This window comes from Homo sapiens, chromosome 6 (genome assembly GCF_000001405.40).
Source record: "Homo sapiens chromosome 6, GRCh38.p14 Primary Assembly".
NCBI lineage: Eukaryota > Metazoa > Chordata > Mammalia > Primates > Hominidae > Homo > Homo sapiens.
In genome coordinates, this window is record NC_000006.12 from 56220121 (window position 1) to 56244370 (window position 24250).

The following is a 24250-nucleotide window of genomic DNA, read 5'->3' on the forward strand; positions in this document are numbered from 1 at the left end:
ACATTTATTGCCTGCTTATCAAATGGCATAATACATAAACAGCACATTGCACAGTACTGGCATACAAGGAGTGCACAATTAATGTCATGTTATATGGAGAGATAAATGGCAGGCCAGCCAGGACTTGTAACAGGCAATAACCACACAAAAGATGTACAAAGAATTCTGGTGCTACAGAAGCAGAGAAAATAGCCTGGGGGAATCCAAGCAAATAACTGACACTGATTAGTAGAAGGAACAAAGGGAATATGTTTGCAAAAAAGTTAGTCATCATTTGGTATTAAAACACAAAGGAAGTTTAAAATTGCTGAACAATATCAGTGTTGTCTATGCTTATTTGGTGTCATTCTCACCTAAAATTTCTTAACTGCTAAAGACTTGTGAAAAACCTTTATGTTTTACGAAAACTTTATGTTTTATTTAAGAATGGTTCTGTATAACTAAGAAAGATGGAATGCCATTCACTCATAACAGAGTCGGAAGGACACAAGATGTCCGCACTGTACTTGAACTTATCCGAGAAGAGGAAACTTGCTACCTTCTAAACAAACCATTCTATCTTTAGACAGTTCTAATTGCTACAAGGCTCTTCTTCATTGTCATACTTTGAAAAATAGCTGACTTTTATTGAGATCCTATAGGAACCAGGCAATGGACTAAGCAATTACACATATTATTTTATTTAATCCTACAAGACTTTGAAGTAGAAACTATACTATTACCTCAATTTTACAAGAGCACAGAGAGGCTCTGAGATATTTAAAGGAAGCTGGTCACAAAAAGGTGGAGCCCACAGTTTTAGCAAAGTCCCTTTGAGGTCATATGACCTCTGCTTTCCACTACACAATTCAATTCCATTCTTAAGGGAAAAATCTGCCTCTTGTTAATTGATATTTTGTAGTTCTTCTTCATGCATTAAGTGTACTGTTATGTATATTAGTCCAGAGTTTCTCAACTACTGGCATTTGAAACCACATTAACTCTTTATTGTGGAGTCTGTCTCATGCATTTTAGGAGGTTTGCAGCATCCTTCCACCCACCAGATGCTGGTAGCATCACCTCCAGCTGTGACAACCACAGATGTTCCCAGATATGACCAAATTTCTCTGTGGCACCAAATCCCTCTATTAGAAATCACTGATTTAGTCAATAAATAGAGGCTTTACCTCAAGGATTGATAATTGGACCTTAATTAATGAAACTGACTTTGAAGTTTGTAAGTCTTAGGTTCCAAACTAGGAATCAGCCACCATGTTCACATTCCTCTGCCCAAATAAGGCAGTTAAGGTAAAAGCTCAATTTGTTTAAAATATTGAAAAGGGTCGGGCACGGTGGTTCATGCTTATAATCCCAGCACTTTGGGAGATCAAAGCAGGAGGATTACTTGAGCCTACAAGTTTTAAAACAGTCTGGACGACATGGCAAGACCCTGCCTCTATAAAAAATTTTTAAAAGTTAGCTGACTGTCGTGTCACACACCTATAATTCCAGTGACTCAGGAGGTGAGGTGAGAGAACTGCTTGAGCCCAGGAGTTCCAGGCTGCAGTGAGCCATGACCACACCACTGCACTGAGTGACAGAACAAGACTCTCTTTAAAAAATAAAAAATAAAATATTATAAAGACTTGAATTTATTGGATATTCTTCTCTGTATCAGGTTTGACATAGCTCTATTCTTTTACTATCAGTGTTTCCATGGTAATGCTTCTATTTCAGAATCAAAATGTTTTTGAAATAGATTAAGTATTGCCAAAAAACAATTTAAAAGCAAATCGAGAAAGCTACTAAACACACACACAATTTCATGGCTTATATTTGCTTTTTATTCTTTGGCCATGAACTATAGAGTCCATTTAAAATTGAAAGTGTTGGCCAGGCATGGTGGCTCACACCTGTAATCCCAGCACTTTGGGAGGCCGAGGCGGATGGATTACCTGAGGTCAGGAATTCGAGACCAGCCTGACCAACATGGTGAAACCCCATCTCTACTAAAAATACAAAAATTAGCCGGGCATGGTGGTGCATGCCTGTAATCCCAACTACTCGGGAGGCTGAGGCAGGAGAATCACTTGAACCCAGGAGGTGGAGGTTGCAGTGAGCCGAGATCGTGCTATTGCACTCTAGCCTTGGCAACAAGAGTGAAATTCCGTCTCAAAAAAAAAAATTGAAAGTGTTTTCCTTTTATTTTATTTTAGCTTTACAGGCAACTAATTGTAAAATAGGAGGTTAATAATGTTGTCTATGAGGATTTTTATTATACTTTACTCACTCACATGATAATGGTGGTTATATTTTTCAAGTTTCTCCATCCATTCATCTAAAAAGCTCTAATATTTCATGCCTATAATAAAATTGTTATATAAGTCTTTAGTACATTTAAAGAATATAAAACAAAAGAGGCATTGCTTCTCTAGGGAGTAATTAAATTTAAGACATGTAATCCATTTCTATGATGAAACACAGATTTCCCATTAGAAGACAAATCATTCATTTAAATCAGTTGAGTAGGAGAGTATCAAAAGAAAATACATCTGGTTACATTTAAGGTTCAGAAAAAAATCATGTACACAAAGATTCTGTGGCTTTCAGCCTAGAGGATTTTCATGAGGTTATCAATCAGATATCTTTTTATTCAGTGTAAGCTCCTATTCTTTAAAAAAAAGGGACTCCCAGGGAATGTTTGCAAGAATTTCAAAGTGAGTCACACAGATTAGTACTTACAGTTTCCAAAAAACTGAAGCCTACTTGGTGGCTTTGACAATGGAGGGTGAGTGGATTAATCTATGTCCTTGACTTTGACCATCCTTTTACATTTTTTGCTCTCATACCAGTGAGTATCATGTGACTCAATCAGTATTTTTTTTTTATTAAATGCTGACAAAGTTATATTAAAGTAAGAGATATCCACATTCTATTCAGAACAAAAAAAAAAAAATTGGAATCCCTGGATAAGCTTTTATTGCTGTTACTCTACCAGTCACTTCTGGGATAAACCGTGTTCTTCCAACATTACTTTCTGGGATAATCAGTTCATGTATTTGTTGTCTTTTCATCTGAAGTCAAGCTGATCATGACTGACAGTAACATCAGTAGATGAGAGGACAGGAGCATGTTATTTTTTTAATATTATTTTCCTCTTTATTGTCTTGAGCTTATTTTTGTCTTCCCACTGAAAAGTAAAAGTGTCCCTCTAATATGAAGGGAAAGACTGTACTTTCTTATTTCATATTTTATTCAGGCTTTCTTTGGATGCCATAAGTAATATCCTTCATTCTATAACATGACTTACTGAAACACTTATTTATTTGCTTTTCCAAGTAACTGAATCATTAAATTTAAAAACTATATTAAATTCCTCTAAAAATTTAGGTACTAGGTTTATGCAATTTTCTTTACATGCTTAGCACATTTGTTTAATGTGCCAAACAAAACACATTAAAATTTTCTGGCAGTCACCAGTAAATGTTTCTTATGATAATTACAGCTATTACATTGGGGTTTTGGGTAAGGGGATAATATTAATTTTAAAAAAAACATAAAAATTGTAAGCAATGTAGAATGATATTTGCATAATGCATTCATGGTAAACTACCTTTAAATCAAAGATGCTCAAGTGTGTAACATCATTAGCTATTGCCAGAGTAACAAAATGTGCCATGATTCATCTTGATAGTCACCAAAAGGCTTTCACCTTATGAGAAGTAAATTAATTGATACATGCATTAAGATTTTACATTTTATTTTATTTTTTTAAACTGTAAAGTATTGGAAGATACTCATGGAGTGTTCTGTGCATCTTATTTCCACCTATTTTCCCAAAGATGTTGAGATACATCCCCTACAGCCTTGGGAGACAGTGTCTCTCTCCTGGGATAAGGGCAAATTTGTTTCCTGACTGGAATAAGAAAGGTAATTTTTTCCAGTATAAACATTGGAGAGATTTACTAGTACCCTTTTTATAAGACTGGGGATTTATTGAGCTTGGAGTTCTTCAGCCATGACACACACCCACTATGCACATAGCATCTATCTGGGTCCTTCCATATCACCCCACGGGGCTTAGGGGAAAAAGCAACCAATGCAAACATGAAGCTGTGAGTAATAAAGTCTTTTGTCCCTGACTCAACAGTCTCCTCTCTGCCAACACCTATAAAACTGTACCAGACTAGTTAGCTTGCAAGTAGGGTAAAATCTCAGGCTCATAGTTCTTGACATAAAAATAGTAGACAGACAATAATTACTTCTTAAACAAAGAGAACAAATAGCCATGTATAGCTGAATTCCATGACTTAACGTGGAGGCTTACAATTTTCTTTAGCAAAAGTGTGTCATAGTCTGTACTTTATTTTATATGTAATTAAAACAAAAATACTATTTTAATGCTTCTCATTCTGAAACCCATATACCTTATGTCAATAAGTGATGCTACTGAATAATTCACAGTCTTTTTGGAATATGGGAGACATAAACGAATTTTTTAAAAATCATATTTAATACCAAAAAAGGATTGGGTTTCTAAAAATCAGCAGATGTAACTAAATCAAAACAAAAACATCGACATTATGGGCCGTTCTTTCTCTGATATTTCCCTGTTTTACCAAGTCCCTTAATGGAAAAAGCACATCAATATGGGCCATTAAATGAAAACAATGACATACTGGATTTCATTTGGACAAATATGCTGAAATATTATAGTTAAATTAAACTCCATTATTTAACAAAAAGTACTACTTAACCTATCACAACTAGTGAACCAAATCACACCAACCTCTTTTCCCACCTACCTCTCATCATCAAACTCATGGTGATAAAGAACAGCAATGCTGTTGAGCAAGATACCATGCATGCAGTGTAAATTGTAACATAAAACTAAAATGTAATAAACAGGGAAAGAAAAACAAAATTCTGACCCTCCAGGAAAAAAAAGTCAGAAAAGATTGCCCTTTTCTCAAATTCTAAAAAATGATCACTTTAACCACTAAATTAGTTTAAACACCACTGACTCCTCCAAAGCCACAAATTTTAAATTTTTCCCCACAAAGCCTTAAAACATTTCATTTTCCTTTGACATTATGCAAGTTACAATAAGATTTCTACTAAAGCAAACAACTGCCCCTGTACTCAACAATCATTTCTTTAAATCTTTTTGAAACCCCCCAAGCTATCAAGAAACTAACCACTAGGTCAACTGGTCTTCATTCATTCCAACACCTGCTGCTGAGTGATAGAATGACTCAAAATTTCTGAACTCTTTTAGAGCTTCACTTTGAGTGGGCTACTACTCACTCCTCAGTAAGGAAACTTGAAAGCCTTAAGTAGCTAAGTTCTCTACTCTAGCCCAGACAGAATCTATGGTAGCTAGTGGAATGAAGGCAACAAAAATGTACTTGACAGCAGAGACCTGGTATTTGGCTGCCTACAGGTTGCCACTTGGGCAAATTTTCAGCTTGTTCCTGTCCAAAGGATGTGCTATTTTCAGGTACTCAATGAAAAATAATCTACATCAGAAAATAATCTGATGAGAACTTTGGCATAAAAACAAAAGGATTCCAAATTTTAAACATATTCATGGCCTTTAATTTTTTTAGTCTTTTTAAAATTTAATTACTTTAAAAAGACAAGAAACACAATAATTACGGGAACAAAAAAGAGTATTTTGAAATTAAGTTTGAGTAATTCTAGAATGGCAGAAGGTAAAATTAGACACAGCTAGTCACCCAAGTGCCTGAGATGTCTTACCATTCCTATGTGATGGTCTTCCTGTGGGCTTTGTTTCCTGGGTAGGAGATCCCTGGAAGCATACAGTGTTTAAATAGATTAATCACAGAGCATCCTGTCTTCATTGTGGTGTACATGTTTCTGGAAGTTACAAAGAGTATTATGCCTGCATTTCATGATGTCCTTTTCTCACCTTATTTCAAATATTCTTCCCAAGAATAAGAGTACAAATAGTACATAGAATTGTTTAAAGAATCCAAATATCTTGACTTTTTCTTTTCAAATCTAATTTTAGGAATGTTACCAATTGTTAATTCATTTAACATCAGGGAGAAAAATAAGTGTAGGGCATAGCCGAATTACCTACAGGGTAGCTTTTACAGTCAGGTGTATACCAAAAAAAGTCACTTTGCTTTCTTCACCTGGAAATATAGGAATGTTATATCATTCCTTTCTAGAAAGAAGAGCAAAGTAACTTTTTACAAAATGTTCCTCGTTATTTAATGTATATGAACACATCTACTAATGATTCTACTGTAACTTTCAAGAGATAGATATTTGTCCCTCTTCCTCATAATCCCAGAGGGAAAAGGTAACTATCATGAAACATTTTTAAAAGCTTTATATATTATATCAATATAAAATAAACCAGTTCCTCCATTATATTAATGGTATCTGGCTTTTCAAGACAGAATTCACTAAGGATGTTGAAAATATAAACCACACACCAAAATGTTAGACTTCCATTTGGAGGCCAAAGCTAACTGGCAAGCCTAATTTGAGTCACACTGTGAAACCCCATTTTCCTAACTTAATTTATCTTGAATTGTTTGTGTGATGGTGTTGTTTGGTTTGCTTTTATGGTGCAATGCACTGGTATCTTCAGCACTGCAGTTTATATGAAAATCCAATGTTCCTCACTTCCATAAAAAACAGTGCAAGGTGATAAAACTAAATTAGGGAAGAGTTATGTTGTTATGACAATGAAACTTTCGAAGAGACTATCAAACTTTGAAAACAGGTCACTGAGAAGAATTAAGAAATACTTTCTTTGGATTTTTTTTAAGTAGATAAGATTCCCATCTCTGTGGGATGGCTCGTATAGGGGGAGCCCACAAACAGTATAATGGACTTTGAATCGCCCAAGTTATTTTCCAAACTTAAAATGGTGCCATGACAGGTCCTCAAACGAACTAAGAGAGCAACTTTCTCAATAAGTAAAAGCAGGATACAGTTCCAGATCATGAAAACTCTGCAATGCTGGTTTTGTGACCTTGACTCAGCGTCACTGGGATGCTACCAAGAAACCACAATTCTTGGCAGCTGCACATTCAATGTACAAATGTTTACCAGATGTGAAGTTCATATGATCTATGCTGTATAATAGAAACAAAAATGAATGTGCTGTGTAATATGACATGCTAGTTCATGCTGTGAGCCAGCAAGCAAGAAAACTGGTCTCATATCTAGACAAAGCCTATGGACTATTTGGAGTAAAGAGAAAACCTCTAAGTCCCACCTCCAATCCCCAATTAAAACAAATCCCATACGCTTGTTAAGCCTGTGGGAAATTCTACTAAGTAAGGTTCCTTTCTTTAGATTAAGCATTCCATCCTTGTTCAATAAAAACCCCCTTGGGAGACATAAATTTTTATCAGTTATTACACTTCAGAGTAAATGAACTTCAGATCCTGTCTTGACAGTTGGTTCTGATATGAAAAATACATGAAGCTTGGTTGTTTAGATTGTAAAAGAAAGAATCATCAAGAGATAAAATTTAATACATATTTTCCCACTACTATTTGTCTGTTTATCCATTCATTCCACAATATGCACAGTCATCTACTATTATTCAGGCAATGTACAAAGCACTGAGGATACACAGATGAGAAAGCCTAGTGATAGCCTCAGCAAGTATAGGGTTTTTGTGAAAAGATATCAAATATATAACTACAATACAATAATAGAGACCTTAATGGAGGTATGTGCTAGGCACTGGGAGCTTGGTGGAGTGAATACCTAGTTCCTGGCTGGCTGAGAGGAAATGGGTACATTCTCTGAGAGGAAGTAAAGTTCATCTGTGAATTAAAGGCAAACCAGGGATTTGCTAGATGACCTTAAGAAGACAGGAAGATAGTACCTGAAAATGCTTAAAATCACTAAAGAACAAGATGTGCTCAGTGAAAAGGTATTTATGAAGTGAACCGCCCATGGAGAGTGGGAAAGGGGTGAGGGGTGAAGGAAATGAATGATGGGGCAGGTACTCAGGAAACAGAGCAGGAACATGGTCTTTTGCATTAAGTGAAGAGGAGTGGACTTTGTCTTTAAAGTTTACTACAGGAGGGATTTTTAGCAGAGAGAAACATATTCTTGTTCACATTTTAGAAAGCTCACAATGGCAGCAGTAGGGAGAATGGTGTACAGGAAGATGGAAAGTTTATGGCAGCAGTCAAATGAGAGGCAGTAAGGGCCTGAAGGACAGTGAGAGCAGAAAGTGATTTGAGAGGCATTCAGGAGTTAAAACGGGCCAGGTCCTATGACTGTTTGATTGCAGTGGACAGGAGAAAGAGAATGACCCCAGCCTCTGGCTTGAACGTCTTGTAGATAGTGATGTCTTTCCCTGAAAGAATTCAGGAAATATAAACCAAATTTTCCTGCTAGAGGGTAGAGGAGAAGAAATATAAAGCATCTTAGTTTTTAGAAAATTAAGCACAAATTTCATGTATGGACATGAAATGGTTCATACATGAAATTTGTGCTTAATTTTCTAAAAAAGTATGGACAGATGAAAATGCTTACTTGACAGGTGAATATATAGACCCCCTGTGTGCCAGGATTTGAGTAATGGGGAGATGCAACTGACGCTAAGCAGAGTGAGTGGACATGGATTCTGGTCTGGCTTACTGTTTGCTTTTGAGTGTCAAGGGTGAGATTTTTAGTCCATTAAAACTCCTTGTATGGAATAAAACAAATGACTAAAGTACAAGAATAACTAAGTAATTGCTGGTTCATCCATATGATGGAGTACTACAGAGGCATAAAATTCAAATGTTCCAAGAATACTTAATGACAATTTTAAAAATATCAATAAAAGAACAAATGCAAAAAAATGCAAAACTATATAGTAAGCTAATTATGTGATATTATATCTCTTTCATAGAAATGTCAAAAATTGTTACTTCCAGATAATAGCATTATGGATATGTAATTTTTATTTTTTGATGCTTTCCAACTTTTCTATAAAGGATATGCATTATTTTGGCTGGGTATGATGGCTCACACCTGGAATCTCAGCACTTTAGAAGGCTGAGGCAGGAGAATTGCTTGAGATCAGGAGTTCAAGCCCAGCCTGGGCAATACAGAGAAACCCTGTCTCTACAAAAAAAAATTTTTTTTAATTAGCTGAGCATGGTGGCTCATGCCTGTAGTCCTGGATACTCAGGAGCCTGAGAGGACAGAACCATTGAGCCCAGGAGTTTGAATTGCACTGCTGCACTTTAGCCTGGCCAATAGAGAGAGACCCTGTCTCAAAAACAACAGAATATGCATTATTTTAAAATCAGAAATAATAAACATATTTTTAAACTTACATATGTTTTAGATAAAGTTAATATCTCGAAAGGAGACTCTGCTCCACCAGCAAAACACATAATTGAATTATCGTACACTAACCACAAGAGGTTAGATTATGCTGAGTAACAAATATATCCAAAAATTGTTGTGCCTTATAACAACAAACATTTATTTTTTGCTCATACTCTACGTCCACTATGAGCTGTCTAGTGGCTCTGCTCCACATTCCTCATTTTAGGATTGAGTCTGAGGAGTATGGTCATTTTCCAAGGTAAGGGTAAAGAGCTCTGGAGGTTCTCACACTGAAAATAAATGTTCCAGTGCAGAAATATATGTTAATTTCCACTCAGCTCGTTGGCCATGAGTATCATGGGGCCAGAAAACGTAATCTGACTGTGTACCTGAAATTTATTTGACAAACAGAACTAATAAGAATCTCCTATAAGTACAAATTCATCCCCTCCACCACCACCACCAGCAGCAACAAAAAACTGGAGGGATTTTTATGGTAGTGTTTTTTAAAATGCAAATCACGATCCATTGGTTGATCTTGAAATCAACTCAGTGGTCTATGACCAACAGTGTTTAATAGAATGGAAGGGAACAGAAAATGTCAGAGCACATTGCATGTACAAAAGGTAAATATTATGATATATTTGGTATACATATTTCGAATAAATACAGATGTGTCACAATGTAAAATTTATTTCTTCCTGTGGGTCCTGTAAAAAAAATTGAAAGTCATTTTTCTATAGGAGTCCCAACTAAGCCAGATATATGGAAACATAACAATTTCCATACTAGGTTTTTCTAGTCCAGTGTCCTATGACTCTGTGAAAGGCTGGGGGAATCTTGTATCAATCTCAAAGAACTCAGTCAACATTTTACTCTTTTTTAATAGTACGGTCTCTCAATGATAAATCAGTCAAGAAATATCATAAAGCAAACTCAATGTTTAGCATCCTTCAAGTGCTAAGAGTATAATTACATTTTATTTCTCCTAAAATAAAAAAAGTCAAGTTTCCAAAGTTTTTCTTAATTCCGTACAGCCTCATTTTATTTTTTTAAGGAAAAGATATACTTCTTATATTAATTCAAATGGCATCCTTGATGAGGATGAATTGTAATATAATTTTTTTTAGTTTGTATTGTTATTAACATAAAGTATTGTCATGTTTTATAAGGTGATGATTTTTATCAGCCTTATTATTTTTTGATGTTTAAGGGAAGAAATCACACTTCAAAACCATAATCAATTGCAAAATACCTTTTGTATGAGTATCTAACTCCTTACCACATGCTTAATATTGCACAATTTTAAATGTTTTATTTCTTATTTTCAACTGAGAAAATACAAATTTGAAATACGCTAGCTGTACATGTTTATGGGAAACATGTCATTTATCAATTTAGTTTCAAATTTTTCATTTCCAAAATAAATTCATCTTAACTCTTAGTTTCTATCACCCATGTGAAAGGTTTATAATTGCTTACTTAAATATACGAGCTCCAATCAGTGTTTTCTACCCTTCCCTCAAATAAACTGCCATGCTTTTTCCTACCTACCCTTCATAGCACCACCAGTTCAAAAGCCAGCCTTTTGTTTCTACAGGAAAAATGCTTGCTGACCAGCCAAGAATAAAACACACCTCACATGGTACAATCTTCTTTTACCTCCCAGATGACTCTACTGCCATTTACTAAGGATGCCAGAAGAGGTTTCCTGAGGAAGAAACAATCAATGTGAATTAATACCATCCTGACATTCAGGAGACCCAAATAAAACATGACTATGTTTAAAAGAACGGAAAATAAAAAGACTATCTTCAAAAATAACTTGGTGTGCGATTTCTTACCATATAAAAGGAAGCTCTGGTATGGAAAAATGATAAACATCCTGCATTTGTTAGTAAAGGAAGCATTATATTCAGTTCGGTAACAGCAACTTTTTTAAAAGTGATGAGTCACAATATTCAGTTCTTTCCTGGCGTTATTCAGCTAGGTGTGGGTAAAAGAGGATAGTACTGAGAACTAGACTCTCTGTATCCCAACCAAGACCACTAAGACATTGCAGGAATTTGAGCAAGAAAACAAGCCTGGCTAGACTTCAGTATCTCCTCTGTAAAACCAGGGGCTGAGAAGATAAGCAAATTTGAGAATCTCTTCCATTTCCAATTGGCTACCATTCTATTGTCTTAAATATTTTACCAATTATGTATACTAGTAAATACATGGTTAATAATCAGCTTTCTAAGCTGCAAAAAAAGTCATTCAGTTTCATTATTCAAACTGGATCCACTAGATCTAATATGTTATGACTTTTCTATAATTAACATTTTATGATCAAAATTATAATATCTATCGCTAGTTCTATTACTTTTAAAGAGCTCCAAAGACATATACGGTAACATTCAGATCATTCTCTTTTCATAAGTTTTTTGATTGCTAAGCTATCAAGATGAAAAATAATCCCATGAAAATGTTCTTCCTTTTAAATGAGTAACAAGCACTTCAAAAATCCAACTGATTTCTTGCAGTATATGGTTTAGGACTCCAACATATGAGATTTCTTAAACTATTTGACATTGTTTTCAACACACACAAAAAAAGTTAGCAAATGAACACTACAGTCAAATGTTGACTATCTGCCAAGTGGGATGGCAAGAGAGAACTAGTACATATAACCTTAAATTGTGGAGAGTTGGGAAAGACATATAATTGGGCACTGGAATGTGTCTTATTCTTATATTTGAATAAATCTATGTCTGGCATTCTGAAAATTGACAATACTATACTTCCAACTGAGTAAAAAATGAAAACATCCTGGGAAAAAGCAACTCAAGAGAACTAAAAATCATTCTAATTAGTAAATATTTTGCCTCACATCTTAGAAAACAAGAACAATATGCAATGTTTAAAAAGATATTTTAAACTCTGCTATGTTAGACTAGTGTGACAAAGTGAATTACAAACATTGATACTGTCATTAAATATTTTGAAAAATTCTTGCAGAACAGATCTCTAAAAGGGGTTATGTTGTATAAACTCAAGACAGTATTGTTATCAAGTTTGCTTCCTACAAAGCAGGAGATTCATGAGGTGGGAAACTCTCCTATCTCATTGTTCACTCCAAAGTCAGTTGGCTACGTTCTGTTATAAGGACTTTCAGATTCAATGGTGTAAAGCAGAAACAGCTGCACTGGACTTCGTTCATCCTGAAAAACAGACATTTCTCAAGCATGTGCCAAGTGCAGTCTTAGAATTACAGTATGTCAGACTTTATCCAAAAGGAGATGCTCTTATTTTACTACATCATCCAAATGCTTTTCATAAGAAATTGCAAACAAGATCCCTAGAGCCACATATTGCTTGGTCCAAAATGTTCACTACATAGTAGAAGTAATAAAGCAGATATCAAAATGACTCTTGTTCCTTTCTATAATTACAGGTGCTTTTGAATATTGTCAGATTAACACTGAATGGGATACCTCTACAACTCCATAGCCTATATTGCTGGGAAGATTAGAAGAACAATAATACTCAGAGCTGGAAGTAAAAGAATTCTCAGAGCAGGGGGAAGAAAAGTGCTCTGACAGAGGTAGGTGCCTTTCAGAGAAGGATATACTTTACACAAATGAGGAAGAGTGGCCTCTTGAACACTGTGCAACTCCTTCTATTTGTATCCACAGTAATCTATGAGTTTGGGCACTTAGACTAGACTGACAAGACAGGCCCCAGGTAGCTTCCCCACAAGCAAAACCCAAGAGAAGAAGCAGCCATATCCAATAAATAAGACACTAATACATTGCCCAACTTTATAATTATTGGGGGCAAGCTCCAGATAGTCTTAAATACAAAATTGCAAACACGAAAATAGGCAACAAATAAGAGTGAACAAATATCAATAAAAACCAGCAACATGAAGAAAAACCATGAGCTCAATGAATACATTAACAGCCATAGAAACAGTTAATAACAGTAAAAGGACTCAGTTAAATCTAATTGATATATTCAAATATATATGTAAGAATATTAGTGAATAAAAAGAGAAAATCAATTAGTATCTTAGAAAATTAAAAACTTAATAATGGATATAGTTGAAGATGGAAATAGCTAGATGGAAAATCAAGTTGAAAACTTCTACCAGATTACAATGCAAAAGAACACAGATTTTACAAAATATTTCAGAAGAATATTCAGAAGAAAAAACTAAAAAGAGACATATGGAGAAATATAGGAGAGAAACGGTAAAGGAAAAAATTTCAGAGCTAAATTAACATTTGATTCTTCAAACTGAAAAAGCATTACAAATATCAAGCTGCTTGAATAGGCAAAAAAAAAAGACCTATTTCATATTTTTGTGAAAAGTTATAATTCAAAGAATAGAGCAAAAAAATCCTAAGTGTTTGGGGGAGAGGCAGGATGCCTAAAAAGAAATAAATTTAGCTTGTCTAGAGACTTCTCATCACAAAAGTGAAGCTAAAAAACAATGAGGGGGTAATTGATACCAATCAGCCATTAATAGGAAAATATGTTTTAGTTAATACGTAGAAATGTAATTATAACAATTATGATATAAATAGGATTATAACTTCCAGAGATGACTGGTAGAAAAGGAAAATAAAGCAAACAATTCCAAATAACAGAAAAAATCATTATAATAAAAGACAAGAAAGCATGGTAAAAACAGAAAACATAAGTAAACTTCAAGGAAAAAGTCCAAACATATTAGCAATCATAATAAAGTTGAATGGGTAATTTGCCTATTTGGAATCCAGAAAAATTTGAAATTGTGTTTTTTAAAGTCTTTGTATATGCTGTTTACAAGAAATCCACCTAAAACTCAGTGACAGAAAATGTTGAATATAAAGGGGCAGAAATATAATTTACTAGGTAAATACTAATAAAAGAAAATAAATATAGTATGAAAAATAGAATTCAAAGCAAAAGTATTAAACAGGATCAAAAAGGAATATTTCATATTTATATAAGATGCACTTCCTAAGAAATAAGTTATGAAACTGTAACCATTTTCTTTCAATATTTTGTCATGAACATTTTCTATAAAGTTATTTACTTTCTATATTTTCTATTATCTCTAAAGACACATTTACTGTTAAACATCATTTTTAACACTGCTTCATAATCAATACAAAAGGCAACGTTTTCCCTAATAGTACACATTTAGGATTTTTTTTTCTAAAATACAAAAAATTTGCACTTTCATCTCCATCACCAGCAGAAATGCTCACCTGAAGACTAATGACCTCCTCATTTCCCAATTCAATAGCTCCCTCACCCATACTCTCGCACTTCCCTCCTTTATCTTCCTCTGCTTAAAAAATCACACACTCTTAATCACTCTTGTCATGCTTTCTCATATTCATCTCTTAAAAGCTATCCTTTCTCCTGATTGGTCATTTTCTTTTGGCCTTTTGGTTTTTGGCAGACTATTGACAAATGTATTCTTAGCCAACTGATCACTGCCCCTCATCCAGAAAACACAACATCTTCCCCTGCTCCAGTGATTGCTTCCACTCAAGGACTTCAGTTCGTGCATACTGAAACATCTTATTTCCTACTTCTCCGCACCTAAACCTTCCATTCCTACTAGGCAAGTTATATTGAGTCCCTTAAATAAGCCATTTCCATTCATAGCTCTAAGGCTTATCTGAAAACACACCTTAATTTGTGGCTTATAGATTAATGTTCAGGGTCTAGGTAATAAACACCATAAACTTACAGAAACTTGGTATAAGTAATCTGTATATGCAATAAAGAAATGGGAGGCAAAAGGGAACAGAAATAGCTATGAATAGCAATGCATATATATGCCTCTGGTAAACCCACAAGCCTGAAGTTTAAAAACAATTGTGAACCAGGCCTATATTCAGCTGGTACAAAGCAAGGTTGCTGTACAGATTGTGTATGCACATTTGTTTTGACTGGATCTGAACCCACTCCAATTGGCTGATGTTCTGGCTTTTCTGATTGTTTAATATTCTAAGCCTCACTTCTGTTTGTGAGCACTTACAAAACTTATAAAAGGAATGAGTCACTGAACACTCTGCAGTGCTTGCTAAGTGTCAAAAATAGATCATATAAAACTAACCTGTACTTCTTTGATAGCTGTACTAGGCTGACATCAGGGGAATACTGTTCGTGATAGTTCAAAAATGAAAATGAATTAATGTCAGTTGGATATAAGACTATTTAAATGGCCCCCTAATGAAGAATAACACCTGATGTCAGCCTGGTAGGAGGTTTCTGGTGGTATGTTTTAGAGTTCTATGCTTTTCCCTGTCTAATTGGTTATTCATAATTTGAATGAGGGAGATGATGGCTTGCAAATTAAATTTCTAGACAAAGCATACCTTGAAAGATGACTAACTGATGGAATAGAAGACTTTGGACAAAAAAAAAATCTTAACTGAATAAATAAGAGACCACTGCAACAAGGCAAAATTCAAAAGAAATACAAAACTTCTGGGATCCAAAATTTGGATTGTAGAATGCTCATTAGGAATAAAGTGGCTTAACAGCAACAGGTCTGAGTTGACTAAATGGTCTTAGCTGATACCAAATTGAATTCATTCATGTGAACTGGCTGTCAAGAATTAATTTGCTCTTGAACTACATTGAGGAAAGAATACGGCTACATCCTTTCTATTAAGCAACCAATGGCCATAGATATCAAAACTGAATGTGTTTAGGGAAGGCTGACAAGAGTGGAGATATAAACACAAACCATCTCAAAGAAGTGGTTTCAGAATATGATGTTCCACTTGGGGCATATATTAGCTGTCTTCAAATGCTGGGAACATGGAAAAAGAAATAAGGCTTGTTTCTGTCACTCCCAGAGTACACAACTAGGTCTAAAGCCTGGAAACTCCAGGGAGAAGTTTTTCAGTTTAAGAAAAAAGTTTCCAATAGATGGGGATTTCCCTAAAATAGAAAGTTTCCCATCATTGGAGGTGTTTGGTATTGGAAACTATGCTCAATATGTATGCTATAGGGAGGGGTTAAGGCATCAAGAATTGTTGGGATAAACAATACTCATATCACGAACAACAATTTGTAGGATACTGCCAGCCCTATGACTTGTGTTAACTAGAGTGTGTCTAAACAGAAACATTTGTTCAAACTGAAGCATGCTTCAAAAGGCTGGGTCAAGCCCCATCTCCTCCATGAAGCAAATCATGACAAAAACAGATGATATCTTCCACAGTGCTTACCTCTAGCATTAGACCATATGGAACTCAATTAAACAGAGTATTAGTTTGCTTTCTAAAAATTGTATTTAAAATAGTCCATCTCACAACTGTATCATAAGCAATCTGGCTATGGCTTGCCTCAATCTACTAAGTACCTAATGGCCACTGAAATTAAACTTGTCTACTCATTGCTCCTCTTGTTCTCATATGGCATATATTCAATGTTTTTACAGCTGACAATACCTCCTTGCTGCGAAAGTGATGAAATATACAGTAATGACTATTTGGGAGTTCCTGGTGGTGCCTCTCCATCTTGATAGTTTAAAATTTCTATATTTTTCCATTTAAAACTTCTCAACTCCCTATTGAAAACAATGGTTATAAAAACTGAAATCCATTCTTACAGCTTTTGATGAGAGCAAAATGTGCCTTTTTCTCCCTGTTTTTACGTGAGAACCTATCAATAGATGGCTCTGAGAAAACAGAAATCCCAGGAAAAGAAAAATTCGAAAGGAAAAAAAGCCAAATTTTAAAATTCTCTAGAGTCTACAGTAATAGACAGTAGCAAAGTAGTGCACTCTAAAGAACCAGGGCTACATGTCTTCATTGCAACTTGAAAAGTCTGCAGCTCTATACTGTCCTGATTACCTGAGGACACTCCCTTGAGTAAAACAGGTTTGCCCTGTCTAAGCATTGGCAATACAAAAACAATGAAATTTTTAAAAAGGAAAATGTTTTCCTCAGTTAACTTTATGATAAATGCTAATCCTTAGGGATAAAATGAAAGAGTAGATAAAGTAGAAAGCATAAACACATTTAGGTTTTAAATTAAGTCATTAGTGTTCAAATCAAGTTTGAAAATGTAAAAATATAATTGCTTCTCTAATCTCGCTTAGGCTCTTTAGGCCAAAGGCTCAAAAATATGACAGGTTACTAGAAAGGAGATTTGGAACTCAACTTAGCAACCATATCCAAAGTGGCATAGAATAATTTAAAATGTACATTTATTAAATTAGTCAACCTTAGCATTTAATAATGTCATAAGTCTGGCCAAAAATGTCGAATGTGAAATTACACTCTCTACCTGAAAATTAAAAATATTTAGAGGCACAGTTAAGGAAACACACATACATAAATGGCTCTAACTATTCTACAGAGGCAACTGGACATTCATTTAATTAATTTAGAATGAATCAGAGGTCAAAAATATTCACATTTTTTCCAGTATTCTGAGATGTATAGTCTAAAAGTAATTGATTCTGATTCTCCCAGTGCCTCCACAGCTGTATTCTATAAAGCCTCAGTTCATTCAATTCAATTATGGTGTTTTTGTTTTATTTTTAGCTTAATAGACTACGTGGTTAGTCTAAATACCATGTAAAAATTTATGTACATTACATACACAGACTTCACCACAGTTTTGAGGAGAACATAGATCTGACCACATATTCCAATTATTAGCCTTCACATTACTGGGTATGAAACAATCAACAACCTGCTCAAAGTACTCTACTATAAGCAGCAATTGATTAGGGCTGGGAGCCTTGTGATATGACAACCAATCATGGCATCCAGAGAATCTAAGGGGAAACTGACTAACAAACTGAGTGCTCCAGGACAGGAATCATGTCATATTTAGGGCTGCATCCCTAGCACCTCATCTACTCTATGGAAAAGGCTGAATAAATATTTGTTGAATGGATAAATTGATGCATATCTATACTGTTACAGCAAATCTGGACTGCAGAAGCATGAAGGCACCTGCTGAGAAGGCAGTGGATGCTGAAACTCGGGGCAGTCTTCTTAAAAAAAAAAAAAAAAAAAAAGCCTCCACAATTGCTAAATCCAGGAGCTCACCACAAACCACTTGCAGTTACAAGCGAGACCTGAGGATACCCTCAGTCTCACCCAACCACCACAGTGACTACAACTGTGCCATTACAGCAAAGACTGACAGCCTCATGGACCCCAGAATCAACACCTACAGCCACAAAGCTTTACCTCAAAAGCTTCTGATAGAGCTGCCACTGCCCTGCCACCTTCAGCAGATACCTTTCTCCTGCATTCTCAGTTCCCTCTCCCAAGTACTAGGTGGATAATGGCTAAAATCTGGATTTGCCTCTGCTCCAGGTCCTCAGTTACATGAAGAATATTCTCACCTAAAGAAGCAACAAGCTTTCCAAAACATAGGGATTCAAATGTAAGTGTGAAAAAGCTTAGGAGAAAATTACTTATGATAATAACTAATTTGAACTAATCTGAATACTTTGTATCTGCCAGCCCTTATGCCAAAGGGTTTATGTGCATTGTTTTATTTAAACCTTCTGACCATACTATGAAGTAGGTCCTCTGAATACACACTTGACACATAGCAAATTAAGCTTTAAAAGGTCAAGCACCATGCACAAAGTCACACAAGTGGTAAATGTCAGAGCCACAACCATACAACACTCATAATCTTAGCTATTACTCTATATGGCCTCAATGTATTAGAGCATGTAACTATTTTTTTGCATTCACAAGGAGTAATAATATTTTCTGCTTTTTAGAAATAATTATTTCATCTTCACCAGATATTACCATCTCTAATTAGTGTCTAAGTACATCTGGCACAACATGTACTTTATGAATTATAGGAACATCAATTAATCACATTCTAACAATCATTATCTCTCACTTGTATAGGAATTTGAAATTATAATTCCAAATGTTTCCATATACAAAGCATGTATCTAAGTATTCATTTTTGCATCATAAAAATAATACATGTATTTAAAAATACACATGAGAAAACAAAGAAAAGCATAAAAACGTCTACCATCTCACAACCCAAACACAACTGTTAACATTTTGGGAAACATGTAATTTAGAGCTCAAAAATATAATTTGATTACTCATATAAACATGATTTCCAACAAAAAGCCATAATTCAAATTTAAAATTTTTTTTCAAGTGTTGGAAAGACCAGTGAAAAAAATTTTTTATATAATTTCCACATAGATGTCAAAGATAAATTTGTTTAGTCATCATGAAAAAGAGTTTACAATTTGTTTGGAAGAAAAAGCTGTTATTACTCACCATTCACAGTAACAACCATCCTCAGTGAACATTCAAGTATGTTGCTATGGTTTCAATGTGTCCCCTCCAAAATTTACATGATGCCAATGTGATTGTATTAAGCGGTGAGGCCTTTAGGAGGTGATTAGGCCATAAGGGCTCCTCCAATATGAATGGGATTAAAGCCTGGTATGGTTTGCCTGTGTCCCACCCAAATCTCATCTTGAATCATAGCTCCCATAATTCCAATGTGTTGTGAGAGGGACCTGGTGGGAGATAATTGAATCATGGGGATGATTTCCCCCATACTGTTCTCATGGGGTTGAATAAGTCTCAGGAATCTGATGGTATTGTAAGGGGAAACCCCTTCCGCTTGGCTCTCATTTTCTCTGTCTGCCACCAGGCAAGATGTGTCATTTGCCTTCCACCATGATTATAAGGCCTCCCTAGCCACATGGAACTGTGAGTCCATTAAACTTTTTTTTTTTTTTTTAAATAAACTACCCAGTCTCAGGTATGTCTTTATCAGCAGTGTGAGAACAGAATAATACAAAGCTGTTATAAAAGAGGTTTCAGGCAGCTTTCAGCTGGCTTTCCCTTAGTCTTCCACCATGTGAGGATGCAGTGTTTCTCTCCTCTGGAGGGTGCAGCCATGAGGCGCCACCCTGGAAGCAGCCTCCACCTGACAACAGAACTGCCAGTGCCTTGATCTTAGATTCCAGCCTCCAGAACTGTGAGGAAATAAATTTCTGTTCTTTATAAATTACCCAGTCTCAAGTATTTTGTTATAGCAGCATAAAATGAACTGAGATATACCTCAATAGGAATCTTAGGAATAAATAAACTCTACATTTCTCAGTAGACCAATTTCCTAAAGGATCCAATGACTTCATGCTGACTTAAACTCTATATAGAGATGCTCTCAGATGCAACCCTTTAGATGTTCCATGATGGCCTATAATGGTGCTTTTAACTAAGAAAAATATACAAATGGCAAAATGAAAGAGAACTTTGCAAGCACACCTGTCTAACTCTCCTTACTGCAGGCTTTTCTAAGCTTCCAGCATCTCAGTAAGTTGGTGGCAGGCTGGATGAGAAGCCATTTCCCAGCCCAGGGTCTTCTTGGCCTTTATTTAGTATTTGACATGTCAATATTAACATTATCTAAATAGTAGTGTAGAAATGACACATAATTTAGATTATAGGTACCTATCGCTCACACTTCACACTCACATGTTTGCTGTCGTTACAAAAATACAAAAGTTTGAATTAGGTTCCAAGTGCCTCTGCTTCCATTAAGAGCTCTGCATCTTACTTTCCCTTTTCAACCCTGCTCCCTCCCCATTCCATAGGCACCCAAGTAGGAGCTCTGTCCATTCCTATACCACTCTGGTTAAAACAATTATCATGTTGCTATGAACTGAAAGCTGCCCTCCCAAAAATCATGTGTACAAGCCTTAACTCCCAACATGGTGATATTTGAACGCAAGGCCTTTCGGAGGTAATTAGATAACAAGACTGGTGCCCTCAGGACTGGTAGGCCCTTATAAATAGACAGAGAGCTTGTTTTCTTTCTCTTCATCATGAGAAAAGAACAAAAAGATCACTCTCTGTAAGCCAGAAATAGAGCCCTTTCAAAAGCCAAATTGGCCGGCACCTTGAGCTTGGACTCTCTAGCCTCCAGAAACATGAGAAATAAATTTCTGTTGTTTAAGCCACCTGCTGTATGGAATTTTACTTTAGCAGCCTGGGCTAACTGAGACACATATCATCCCTAGTTGATATTTCTCTTTATCTCATTTCAAAACTCAGCCTAGTGTTGCTAGCTAACAAGGAATCTGAACAGGGAGAAAAAAAGTAAAAGAGCTGTAAAATGATCCAAAGGCAAACTGCCAAAGAGAACAGGTGATGATCAATAGGGAAACGGTGGAGAGCAGCCTGATTCTCAGGACCTGGGTATTTACCTTCTCCACAATGCTTCTCTCTGGGATAATCTCTCTCCACTTGTTGCCAAGACATTACTTCAAACCACATTGAACACTTTCTAAAGATTAATAAATAGTATTATGTCAAACGACAATCAAAAATGGTTTAAGAAATCCAGTGATACATCATGCTATGCTTGTTGAGGTTTTTAAATTTAAATTAGAAGCATTTTGCCTTCTACATTGTTCAAGGTATTTACAAAATATTTTTCAATAATGAATTGAAGGGAGTTTTTCATTTTTAAAAAAGAAACAGCAGATTGGCTATTAATAGACTCTCTGAAACAGACTTTAGCAACTTTTTGTCTGAATCCCCTTTACCTAAGATAGCCAACCACTTGGTAGACACTTAATAGTTATTTGATGAATGGGTGAACACTAACAAGGAATGTTCCTCCCTGTTTTATCTTTAATATTCCATCTTCTGAGTACTGCTGGAAAACACATGCCTATACATACCCTATAAGTGGAACCAAACTCTCTCTTCCTAATAAAGTTGCAAAATACGTATACAACAAGGTCTAAAAATGTTAAAGTATATTAATTTAATATTTTAATAAGTTGTTTCCATTGAATCACCTATGAATTTAAAGGTTCTCATAAAAATATAAAAATAAGCTTTGAGTGCTTTTATTTACTCCATTACGTAATTAATGCAAAAGACTAAAATTCCAAAGAATCTTTTTAAAAGAACTTTCTAAAAAGCTCAAACTTCGCTAGAACATTTTACTTTGAATTAAAAAAATCTCTTTTCTTGGTCCTTAGTCTTTTCTTCTCGACACCAATGAGTACATAAACAAACAGTTAAGGGGTAGCATAACACTGCAATCATGGCTAAATTGACCTAGATGAAAACAAGACAAGTCCAAACAAAAACTAAGCACTGAATCAAACACAAGCATCTGGCAGGATTCCCAGAAGGTCACTAAGCTTGGACTTCAGAAAATTGTCAATGTTTCCTGAAATTTTCAAAGATTTATCTGAGTATTTCATTGGTAAAAACCAAAATGTCCAAGAAACAACAAGGAGAAAAAATTATATTGAATTCTTTGAAGTGACAAAGGTGAAAAAATTATCTTTTTCACAACTGATAACTTCAGATTTATTTTCTTGGCATTGTAAACATATTGCTTTCAGTGCTCTTTAATTAAAGAAATATTTTAAGTAAATGTCCCTGAAATTAAACTGTGATAAGTGGAACAGGTATAACTGTAGTATTCCAGTTGTATTCTGTAAGTTGGATTGTGCGTCTCTTTGTCAACATTATCTGATTTTTTGGAATGCAAGACAGTTGAATGAAAAGTGTACTAAGTAGGATTAAAGTACTAAAAAAATATGAATTGTTATCCAGTGCCACCACTAACTCTTCATGAGCCCTTGGCTAAGAATGACATCTCCAAACCTGTTCCCTCATTTATATTACGCAAATTCTAATATCCCTAACCATTCTAAAAATTCTATGAGTACATGAGAATCCCATGAATATAGTGTGTAGATATGTTCCAGGGACTCTCTTTATAAATGACATGATTACTTTACTCTTTTCACAATAAATTTCAAACATTCTAACACAGAACACAGTCTAAAAAACTGTTCTCAGGTGATTCAAATGTCCAGTCAAGTGGGTTAACCAGTGGGTTAAAGCAGTGATTCCCTAGGTGTGGTCTCTGGCCAGCCACAGTAGTATCAACTGGGACCTTACAAAAATGTTGTTCTAAATTTATTATTTTCTGAGAAACTTTAAGTACCTCACTTATTCTGAGACAAATTATCCCATTAAATAAAACAGAAAAATCATGGGAACACCAAATTAATAACCTAAATTACTATTTCCTTTTAGGATCTCACTTTCAGAGGTGAAAACAGAAAAGAGAGCTTCAGCTTAAAGCATTCATTAAGGCCCAAAGTAAAATAATAGCAAATTCTTATTAAGCACTTACTATGAGCCAGGCACTGTTTTAAGAACTTCACATATGTTAACTCATTTACTCCTCACAACAGCCCTACTGAGGTAGGTTCTACTTCCCCAATTTTACCAATGAGGAAACAGAAGCAAAAGTGATTATGTAACTTGTCCAAGTTTAAACAACTAGAAAGTAATGAGGTCAGGATTCAGGGCTAGGCAGTCTGGCTGCAGAGTACCTTGTCTTTAACCAAGAGTCTATGCAGAAAGTTGGGGAATTTAGACTCATGGTTCATTTTCCTCCTATGAGACTGGACCACGTACCAGAAATAAACATTTCAACTTTGTTTCTCACAAGAATAATAATGAAGCAAACTAAAGAATTACTATTGCATGCTGAGAAATATAATCCAAAGATAATAAATACAAAATAAAAACACGTATCCATTTCCTGTGATAGGCCTTACTCACAACAGTTTCAAGACTGACCTTAATAGTAAAACCATCCACTATGGAACAAAGAGGGCCCTGAAAATGAACCTAAATGAATGCCAGGTAACTCTCATCAGAACATTTCTAAGTGAGCCAGGTTATGTAAACCAAGCACAACTTCTTTATGATTATATCTGCTCTGGACCCTATACCTATGACAGGAGAGTCATGAAGTCACTGTGGGGCATTGCAATATTGATCATTCCTAGTTGGCCATTCACTGCAAGCAGTGCTGCCCCATCTGTCACTCTGAATTGCAACATCATAGACTCTCTTAGCTTTTCAGTTAAGTTATCCAGAACACAGCA

At 35.3% G+C, this 24250-nt stretch overlaps 1 protein-coding gene across 11 annotated transcripts in view; it reads right to left on the reverse strand.

The window, feature by feature from the left end:
- COL21A1 (collagen type XXI alpha 1 chain) overlaps positions 1 to 24250 on the reverse strand; it is a 337539-nt gene that overhangs the window by 163531 nt on the left and 149758 nt on the right. The window contains exons 2-3 of one of the 11 annotated variants that reach the window (XM_011514925.4): positions 10941 to 11014; positions 5740 to 5791 (exon numbers count right to left, since the gene is read on the reverse strand). The exons of 7 other annotated variants lie outside the window; for them this stretch is intronic. The gene's annotated coding sequence lies outside the window, so the exon portion shown is untranslated. Of the gene's footprint in view, positions 1 to 5739; positions 5792 to 10857; positions 10877 to 10940; positions 11015 to 24250 lie in introns of those variants that run through there. 3 more of the 11 variants (XM_047419383.1, NM_001318751.2, XM_011514927.1) reach the window with 3 other exon arrangements.